We start from the raw sequence: 11,046 nt of genomic DNA on the forward strand, positions 1-11,046 counted from the left end.
AAACAAAACAAGCAAACAAAAAAAAGTATTAACAAAATGTTGACCTAAACTTTTTAAAATCATAGATTTGTAGCCACATTTCTTACCACATATTTCATTATTATATGAATGTGAAGGTACCACAGGTCTCATTATTCCCCAAAAACAAAGATAGTACCACAAACTCTCCTATATCTAGCACAGTTGAGGAATCTGGTGTTCTGGTCAGTCAAATTGCTTTTGTTTATTGAGAGTTCCCATAAATAGCAAACATGGATTACCAATTTTCAAAAGAATTAAGACACAATAAAATGTACTTAAGTCTAAAACTACACAGGATATAATTTATTTTTCACGGATGATTATGGAAAGGAACTCCAAGATCTTGCAGTAATTTTTTAAACTTATTTTTATTGCAATAGATTTATCTTCCAGATTAAACGTTTTATTTTGCATGCCATAAAAATCCTGAAAAAAAAACAAGTTATGAATTGTGAATTCTGTCTCCCTACACTAGTTCATAAAAAGGTTCCCAATGTGTTAAAAATAGACATTGTTTCTGGTACATAAATGAGAAAACCTGGTGCTATGGACACTGCAGAAAGACAAAACTCAGAAACAAAATATTTAGATTTTTTTTTTTTTTTTTGAGACGGAGTCTCACTCTGTCGCCCAGGCTGGAGCGCAGTGGCGCAGTCTCTGCTCACTGCAAACTCTGCCTCCCAGGTTCAAGCGATTCTCTTGCCTCAGCCTCCTGAGTAGCTGGGATTACCACGCCCAACTAATTTTTGTATGTTTAGTAGAGACGCGGTTTCACCATGTTGGTCAGGCTGGTCTCGAGCCCCTGACCTCGTGATCCGCCCGCCTCGGCCTCCCAAAGTGCTGAGATTACAGGCGTGAGCCACCGCGCCCAGCAATATTTAGATCTTAAAGCAGCAGTTTGACACTATTTTGTACTACCACGTAGAGCTACGTACCTTTAAAGTCCATGGAAAAAAAATCATCATTGTCCATTTTTAAATCTCTGGCTCAAGCCTGTGAAATAATAACATATTTTAATACTCTGTTTTATCCTCTAGTTTCTCAACAAATTTCTTTCCAGTGAAATGTTTCCCGTTACTTGTTATCCAAAGGGAGAAAAAAAGGCTGAGTAAAGTTAAAAGCCCATGAAAGGGCTTTTGTGAGGGGCAGGGCCAGGCTGCCAAGTTACATAAAAGGGACCTTTTCTTACCATAAGTCTGCCTGGCAACGGGGGAAATGGAGCTGAGTGGTACCCTGTTATTGGTCTGGCTGGGTCTCGCTGCTTCTTCCTAATTGGCTCAAAATCCGCTTCCGCTACCAACCGCACATTCAAAGCATCCAATCACTCACGGTCCTTTTTCCCGCTCTGTGAGAACGCTAGCACCTTCAGTATCCTGCCCCCAACGGTCATGAACAGTCCTGCTTCAACGTAATTTAGGTCCTTCAGCATCTAAACAACAATAACTACTATCTCCGGTTTTCAGTGGCCCACCACAACTCCCCATACTCCTCCATCCTCATCAAAAAACATTACATTGCCCCCAACGGTCATCAACAGTCCCGCTTCAACGTAATTTAGGTCCTTTAGCATCTAAACTACAGTAACTACTATCTCCGGTTTTCAGTGGCCCACCACCGCTCCCCATACTCCTCAATCCTCGTCCAAAAACATTACATTTGCCCATCTTCGTTCGCCTTGAGAGCGACGAGCAGTTCTGTAGTACAAAGTCACTGCCTTAGGGCCGCTCTAAAAAGTTTTGGCCTAATGGCTATAATATATTCTTGCTAGTTATAAACTACCCAACTAACTTGTGCTTGAAGCCTATTCTACCCCTTCCTGCCCACTAAACCACTCACCTCAGCCGCAGCCACCAATGCCGCCCTGCTCTCTCCACAACCTCCGTCCACAGCGCACGAGGACGTTCAGAAAACTCCGCCCCCTAGCGACGCTAGCGGTGTCACGCTAGGCCACTAAAGCCACTCCCACTTGGCCTTTACGCTGTGTCACGGAGCCTAAGCCTTGCGACCCAGTCTAGACCTTAGATCCTGGGGATGCAGTTCAGAGAGTCAGTCACTTGGTGAGTTCAGGGTGAGAATAACTGAGAGTAAGCAAATATGATGTAATTCTGAAAGCATAAGACAATGAATTGAGGGAAAAGTGCAGATGGCCAGGATTACCAAAAGGAGAGCAGGACTTCACACACACAAAAAAAAGAACAGAAAAAGAAATAAAGCAAGTAGACATTGTTGATCACTGGTTATGCAAGAGTGGCAAAGGTCAGAAATAGCAGAAATATTAGAAGCTGAGGAGACTAGTCGAGGCCAGCCTGATCAACAAGCCAGACTGCACCTGAACCAAAAAAAAAAAAAAAAAATCCAGGTGTGGTGGCACACGCCTGTAGTTCCAGCTACTTGGGAGGCTGAGGTGGAAGGATCATTTGAGCCTGAGAGTTTAGGTCCAATAAGCCATGATCCCACCACTGCACTCCAGCCTGGGAGACAGCGAGATCATGTCTCTTAAAAATAAAAAATAAGTCGGGGGCAGTGGCTCACGCCTGTAATCCCAACACTTTGGGAGGCCAAGGCAGGCGGATCACCTGAGATCGGGTGCTCCAGACCAGCCTGACAAACATGGAGAAACCCCGTCTCTACTAAAAACACAAAATTAGCTGGGCGTGGTGGTGCATGCCTATAATGCCAGCTACTTGGGAGGTTGAGGCAGGAGGGAGAATCGCTTGAACCCGGGAGGCAGAGGTTGTGGTGAGCCGAGACATTGCACTCCAGCCTGGGCAACAAGAGCAAAACTCCGTCTCAAAAAATAAATAAATAAATAGGCCGAGCACGGTGGCTCACGCCTGTAATCCCAACACTTTCGGAGGCCGAGGCGGGTAGATCACCTGAGGTCGGGAGTTGGAGACCGGCCTGACCGACATGGCAAAACCCCGTCTCTACTAAAAAAAAAAATACAAAATTGGCTGGATGTGCTGGCGCATGCCTGTAACCAGCTACTCGGGAGGCTGAGGCAGGAGAATCGCTTGAACCCGGGAGGCAGAGGTTGCGGTGAGCCGAGATCGCGCCATTGCACTCCAGCCTGGGCAACAAGAGCGAAACTCCGTCTCAAAAAATAAATAAATAAACAGGCCCAGCGCGGTGGCTCACGCCTGTAATCCCAGCACTTTGGGAGGCTGACGCAGGCGGATCACCTGAGGTCGGGAGTTGGAGACCGGCCTGCCCAACATGAAGAAACTCCGTCTCTACTAAAAAATTACAAAATTAGCCAGGCGTGGTGACACATGTCTGTAACCAGCTACTCGGGAGGCTGAGGCAGGAGAATCTCTTGAACCTGGGAGGCGGAGGTTGCGGTGAGCCAAGATGGCACCATTGCACTTCAGCCTGGGCAACAAGAGCGAAACTCCGTCTCAAAAAAAATGAAAATAAAATAAATAAAAATAAAAAATAAAAATAAAAAAAGCCTTTTAGTTCCAAGACGTTTCTGTTGCCCTGCCTTTGTCCAATCATTAGGAAACTAGGAGACTCCCCTGCAGTCTCACAGCAAGCTCGCATGTCCCACCCATCTCCAAACCAAATGGCTTGAGGGGTGGAATATGTAAGTAAAAATTTGATTCCAGCTAAATCTAAGCATGATGCTAATCTCCACTCAGAGATAACAGTGTGAAAACATGATGCCTCCAGATTTGTAGACAAACACAGAATCAAAACATTAATAAGCCTCCCACTTCTTCCTATATACCCCTCTTTTAAGCCTTGTGCACCTCAGGCCAGATATGGAGCTGGCTAACAGGATAAAGAAGAGAGATTGTGGCTCCAGTTTCTGGGAACATTAACAGAGTTCCTTCCTGATCCTGAAAGTCTCAGAATCAGTCATTAGATCTCGTGGACAAGATGAGGTTACTAAAAGTAATTTATTTTCCCTCTTCAAAATTGTATCTAGATTGCATAGTACAATGAAGAAAAATGGGAAAACAGAAAGTACTGCTATTAATTCCTCTTCTTTTGCATCCTGCAGTTTGGTATGTCTTTATTTCATAACCCTCGATTGCCATATTAGGGAAAGAATTCTGGTGAAAAGGAGCAGTGGAGTATGCCACAGTTGACTGACTCTCCATGCACCATATACTGTGTGGCCTTGAGCCAGCTTTAAGAATCTTAGCATCTAAATTGGGCATGGTGATTCACACCTGTAATCCCAACACTTTGGGAAGCTGAGGCAGAAGGAATCCTTGAGCCCAGGAGTTCAAGACCAGCCTGGGCAACATAGTGAGACCTTGTCTCCATACAAAAAAAGATAATAATAATAATTAAAATTTAAAAAGAGGCTTAGTGCAGTGGCTCACACCTGTAATCCCAGCACTTTGGGAGGCCAGGGTGGGAGGATCACTTCAGCCCAGGAGTTTGAGACCAGCCTGGGCAAAACAATGAGACCACATCTCTAATTTTATTTATTTATTTATTTTTTGAAATGGAGTCTCGCTCTGTCACCCAGGCTGGAGTGCAATGGTGCGATCTCAGCTCACTGCAACCTCTGCCTCCTGGGTTCAAGAGATTATCCTGCCTCAGCCTCCTAAGTAGCTGGGATTACAGGCACCCGCCACAAAGCCCAGACAATTATGGTATTTTTAGTAGAGATGGGGTTTCACCATGTTAGTCAGGCTGGTTTCGAACTCCTGACCTCAGGTGATCCATCCGCCTCAGCCTCCCAAAGTGCTGGGATTACAGGTGTGAGCCACCGTGCCCAGCCTCTATTTAAAAAAATACGTATATATTAAAACAATCTTAGCACCTCAATTTCCTCATATGTACAATGGGAATAAAAGTAATTCTAGGCTTCTGGTTCAATAGAATAATGCACATAAAGCATCTAGAACAATGGGTGGCTGGCATATAGTAGTAGTCACTTAACAAATGTTAGTTCCCATTATCATTTCCCATTTCCTGGTTGACAAACTTCCTACTTCCATTATCCCACCTAAACCCCTGGTTCCACCATAGCTTCTTTGTTCATGGATGAACAGATGAACAAGTAAGGTGATAATTAGAACTCAGCTCTCAAGACTACAAGCAGCCCTTTCACATGCATCTTAGAGTTCTTAATGATTAATAACGTCTGCGGTAGAATGGATATTATACTATTCAGCATTATATAAGGCATATAGGAATCACATGATTCTATTGATGAATACCAGTTGTAAATATGACTCCAAAGTTAGGGCTACTGAGCTGACGCCAGTGCACTGAAAGGGCCAGTGAATAAAGGAAAATGTACGGAAAGGGTGAAAACCCTGATAATACATGGATATCTTCAAATTTTTTTTTGTTTGTTTTTATCCAGATGGCCTTCCTAGATGTTACAAGTAAATGAAAATTAAAAGAAACAGAAGAAAAAAGTAAAAGAGAGAGAAAAGGAGAGCAGATAAAAGAAGCAGGTACATATTGAGGTGGATAAGCAAGAGTGAGCAGTAAAATGCCATTAAGTAGCACTCAACATGCTGTGGATTATCTTCCTTTACCCTCCTAACATAAGCTATAAGTTTTCTGTCCTACCCTTTAACAAAATGTTACAGAAATGGTGAAATACATGGTACATAAGATGGTTGAACAGCTTGGACTCTAATGAGAGCCTATTAAAACTCTCATCAATAGAGTGGATTAAAAGACAGTTAGCAACCAAGAACACAAATTAGTTAATAAAGTAGCATTACGCCCTGTTAAAAGAAGAGAAAGACTTCCAGAATAAACATGCAATTACAGTCAGGAAAATTCTAAAAACAAAATCATTAATGGAGGGAGGAAGAGGAGCTTGTTCTTCCAGATATTAAAACTATTGCAAATAAAATTGTGTGGTAATAGTGCAGACAGATAAATGAACAGAATAGAGTCCAGAAACAGACCCAAATATACATAGAAATTATTGAAATCAGTGGGGCAAAGAATTATTCAAGAAAAAGTGTTGAAATGACTTTAGAGCCATTTGTTAAAAAAAAAAACTAGATCCTTACCTCTCATTTCATATACCAAAATAAATTCTACATTAATCAAAAATTAAATCCAATCATAAAATTTCTATTAAAAATAGGTGTGAATATCTTATAGCTTTATTAATATACTAAGACGTAGTAGTTTTTTTTTTTTAATTTTACCTAGTTGGCAAGATCTAAATATGATCTGGAAACCCAAATCAAAAAGGGAAAACAGTAAGTTTTACTGCATAAAAAATAACTCTTCTGAGTGGCACTATAAGCAAGGTTGAAAGACAAACCACAGACTAAAAAAAGATTTTTTCAACATATGTAACAGATAAAGACTTAACATCTCTAACATAAAAAGAGCTCTTCAAATTAAAAAGAAAAAGACAAATACTCTAGTAAATAAAAGCTCATAGGACATGATCAGACAAATTACACAGGAAGAGTACAACCAACAAACACATAAAAAGATACTCGGTTGGGCAAGAAGGCGCATGCCTGTAATCCCAGCACTTTGGCAGGCCGAGGTGGGAGGATTGCTTGAGTCCAGGAGCTTGAGACCAGCCTGGGGAATGTTGTGAGACTTCGTCTCTATGCAAAATTAGCCAGGCCTGGTGATGCACACTTGTAGTCCCAACTACTCTGGAGTTTGAGGTGAGAGGATTGCTTGAGCCCAGGAGGTGGAGGTTGCAGTGAGCAGAGAACACACCATTGCACTCCAGCCTGGGCGACAGAGTGACCCCTGGCTCAAATATTAATTAATTAATTAATTAAAAAATTTAAAAAAATAAAATAAAAAAGATACTCAACCTCACTAGTAATCGTAGAAATTCAAATTAAAGCAAGGTAAAATTTTCATCTATCTGATTGGCAAAAGTTAAAAAGATTAAGAAAACCTTAAATTTGTCAAAATATACAAAACAGGCACTCTTGGGCACTGTAAGTAGGAATACAAATTAAATTAATGCAACTTTCTGGAAGAAAGGCAGTTTGGCAATATATATCAAAATCTTAAATGTGTGTACCCTGTCACCCAACAATTACCCTTTTAGGATTTTTCCAAAAGAAGAAATTGGAAAAATTTGCAAAGACAGATTAACGGAAACATTCACTGAAGCATTGTAAACCACATAAATGTTCACCAGCAGACTACTGGTGAAGTTATACAACTACGTTAGTTGTATATGGAACATATATTATGGTTTGGAATACATATACAACCTTTAAAAACTGTTGTGATGGGCCGGGCACAGTGGCTCATGCCTGTAATCCCAGCACTTTGGGAGGCCGAGGCAGGTGAATCACCTGGGGTCAGGAGCTCCAGACCAGCCTGGCCAACATGGTGAAACCCTGTCTCTACTAAAAATAAAAAAATTAGCTGGGCATGGTGGTGGGTCCCTGTATTCCCAGCTACGAGGGAGGCTAAGGCAGGAGAATCGCTTGAACCTGAGAGGTGGAGGTTGCAGGGAGCCAAGATCGTGACACGCACTCCAGCCTGGGCGACAAAGAGAGACTCCATCTCAAAAAAAAAAAAAAAAGAAAGAAAGAGGAAGAAAAAGTAAAACTGTTGTGATGGTTCAAATCTGGGTGCCCCCTCAAAAAAAAAAAAAAAAAAGAATGGTTGCAGAAACAACCGGGCTTAATGCCTCACATCTATAACCCCAGCACTTTGGGAGACGGAGATAAGAGGGCCACTTGAGACCAGTCAACACTTTTTAATTCAGTGTTGACTAGCCTGGACAACAATTTATAACAATTTCATAGTTATAAAACTAGGGACATGTCTACATTCTACTGTTGAGATTTTAGAAGAAAAATGTTTTCAGAAAAGGTACGTATTTATGTAAAATCGAATGCATATTTAAACAAAAATGTCTGGAAGAGTATTTACCAAAATGTCAACAATGTTTATCTCTGAGTGGTGAGATTTGGGAGAATTTTACTTTATTTATATTTTTCAGTTTTTTGTTTTGTTTTGTTTTGTTTTGTTTTGCAAAGTCTTGCTCTGTTGCCCAGGTTGGAGTGCAATGGCACAATCTCGGCTCACTGCAACCTCCGCCTCCCAGGTTCAAGCGATTTTCCTGCCTCAGCTCCCCGAGTAGCTGGGACTACCGGCGCACGCCACCACGCCCAGCTAACTTTTTAAAAATTATTTTTAGTAGAGACGGGGTTTCACCATGTTGGCCAGGATGGTCTCAATCTCTTGACCTTGTGATCTGCCTGTCTCAGCCTCCCAAAGTGCTGGGATTACAGGCGTGAGCCACTGCGCCCAGCTGATTTTTGTTTTGTTTTGTTTTGTTTTGTTTTGTTTTTGAGACAGGGTCTCACTCTGTTGCCCAGGCTGTTGTGCAGTGGCACAATCTCAGCTCACTGCAACCTCCACCTCTCTGGTTCAAGTGATTCTCCTGCCTCAGCCTCGCAAGTAGCTAGGACTACAGGCATGCACCACCACACCCAGCTCATTTTTGTATTTTTGGTAGAGACGGAGTTTCACCATGTTGGCCAGGCTGGTCTTGAACTCTTGACCTCAGGGGATCCACCTGCCTTGGCCTCCCAAAGTGCTGGGATTACAGACATGAGCTACAGCACCCAGCCCCATTTTTCAGTGTTTTTAAATTTTCTACAATAAACACATATTTTTATCATTAGGGAGAAAAAGAGACACTATTTTCATTTTTTAAAACCCACAGGAAAATGAAGGAGTTCTTATCTGATGGGCATGCATTTTCTCAATAAAGTATGAGGCAAAGTCAACAGCAGAGAGTAGGAGGGAGAGATCTGAAGAATGTGAATAAGGTAAGTGAGTGGTTTTAGAGAGTTGGAGAATTAAGAGTAAAGGGGGATTTTTAGCTATGTTGAAGACCTAGTTGATTAAGCTTGACTATCATTAACCTGCCCATTGTGTGATTGCCTCCACCAATCCTGAACTATACAGGTTAAAGTATAAAGAAGATGAATGTGTGGATTCCTCCAGGAGGTGGGTGGAGGGGAACTATGGAGTATTGTGTAGGCAGTTGAAGGTATTTGCAAGAGTCATAATAATAAATTCAGGAATTTAAGTGAAAAAGGGAGCAAGCAAAGTTTGGAGGAGGCTGGGTGCAGTGGCTCATGCCTATAATCTCAATACTTTGGGAGGCCGAGGTGGGAGGATCACTTGAGCCCAGGAGTTCCAGACCAGCCTAGGCAACAGGTTTGTCTCATAAAAAGAAATTAGCCGGACATGGTGGCCAGTGCCTGTAGTCCCAACTACTTGGAAGGCTGAGGTGGAAGCATCTCTTGAGCCCAGGAGGTCGAGGCTGCAGTGAGCTGTGATCATGCCGCTGCACTCCAGCCTGGGTGACAGAGTGAGATCATGTCTCAAAAAAAAAACAACAACAACAACAAGGATTGGAGGAGTGATGAAAAGAGAGAAAGTGTGTGTGGTAGGAGGGGCAGTGAATTGGAGGCTTCATGAAGCCAGAGAATTGTAGTGGGGTTACTTGAGCCAGTGAGCTAGAAAAGCTTGGGAAGTTTTAGAAAGAAAACTTAATGTGGGGGTTTTTGGCTTATTTTTAATTGAAAAATAATAATTGTATATATTTATAGGATATAATGTGATGTTTCAATACACGTATATGTTGTGCAATGATCAAATCAGGGTAATTAGCATATCTGTCACCTCAAATATTTATCATTTCTTCACAGTAAGAACATTTAAAATCCTCTTTTAGCTATTTTGGAATATACATTAGTTGTTTGTTTGTTTGTTTGTTTGAGACAGGGTCTCACTCTATTGCCTAGGCTGGAGTGCAGTGGCACAATTACAGCTCACTGCAGCCTCCACCTCCCAGGCTCGGGTGATCCTCCTGCCTCAGGCTCCCAAGTAGCTGTGATCACAGAGGTGCACCACCGCACTCGACTAATTTTTTTTTTTCTAGAGACAGGGTCTCACTATGTTGCCCAGGTGGTCTCAAACTCCTGGGCTCAAACGACTCTCCCCACTTCACCTCCCAAAGTGCTGGAATTACAGGCATGAGCCACTGCACCTGGCCCACAATACATTATAATTGATGACAGTCATCTTGCTGTGCAATAGAACACCGTAACTTATTCCTGCTATCTAGCTATAACTTTGTACCCATTGGGCAATATCTCCCCTTTTACCATCCACCTCCCCACTCCCTCCAGCCTCTGGTAACCACCATTCTACCCTCTACTTCTACGAGTTTGACTTATTTAGATTCCACATATAGGTGAAATAATATGGTATTTGTCTTTCTGTGTCAGGTTTATTTCACCTCACTTAACATAATGTCATCTAGGTTCATCCATGTTGTAACGAATGACAGAATTTTCTCAAACTCCTGACCTCAATGATCCACCCACCTCGGTCTCCCAAAGTGCTGGGATTACAGATGTGAGCCACTGCACCCAGCCACAAATGACAGAATTTTATATATATATACTATATACATTTATAAATATATATAGTATATATATATTATAATATATAGTATATATATTATAATATATAATATATATATTATAATATATAATATATAATATATATATTATAATATATAATATATAATATATGTAGTGTATATATATTATATATACTATATATTATATATATTATATATTATATATTATATATATTATATATAATACATATTATATATAATATATATAATATATATAATAATATAATATATTATATATTATATATTATATAATATTATGTATATAATATATATTATATATTATATAATATATGTATTATATAATATATATTATATATATTATATATTATATAATATATGTATTATATAATATATATTATATATATTATATATTATATTATATTATATATATATATTTCATATATATATATATATATATTTTTGAGATGGAGTCTCACTCTGTTGCCCAGGCTGGAGTGCAGTGGCACAGTCTCAGCTCACTGCAACCTCTGCCTCCCAGGTTCAAGCGATTCTCCTGCCTCAGCCTCCCAAGTAGCTGGGATTACAGGCGCCTGCCACCACGCCCGGCTAATTTTTTGTATTTTCAGTAGAGACAGGGT

General features: G+C 40.8%; 1 protein-coding gene across 4 annotated transcripts in view; it reads right to left on the bottom strand.

Moving 5' to 3' along the window:
* Positions 1 to 1,915, bottom strand: part of TEX11 (testis expressed 11) — a 397,485-nt gene extending 395,570 nt beyond the window's left edge. For all 4 annotated transcript variants that reach the window (XM_017029649.1, XM_011530994.2, NM_031276.3 and 1 more), the window contains exons 1-2: positions 1,858 to 1,915; positions 957 to 1,014 (exon numbers count right to left, since the gene is read on the bottom strand). In XM_017029649.1, coding sequence (XP_016885138.1) covers positions 957 to 993 — 37 coding nt within the window. In that variant the 5' untranslated portion in view covers positions 994 to 1,014; positions 1,858 to 1,915. The remainder of the gene's footprint in view (positions 1 to 956; positions 1,015 to 1,857) is intronic.

This window comes from Homo sapiens, chromosome X, assembly GCF_000001405.40.
Source record: "Homo sapiens chromosome X, GRCh38.p14 Primary Assembly".
In the NCBI taxonomy this organism is placed as follows: Eukaryota; Metazoa; Chordata; class Mammalia; order Primates; family Hominidae; genus Homo; species Homo sapiens.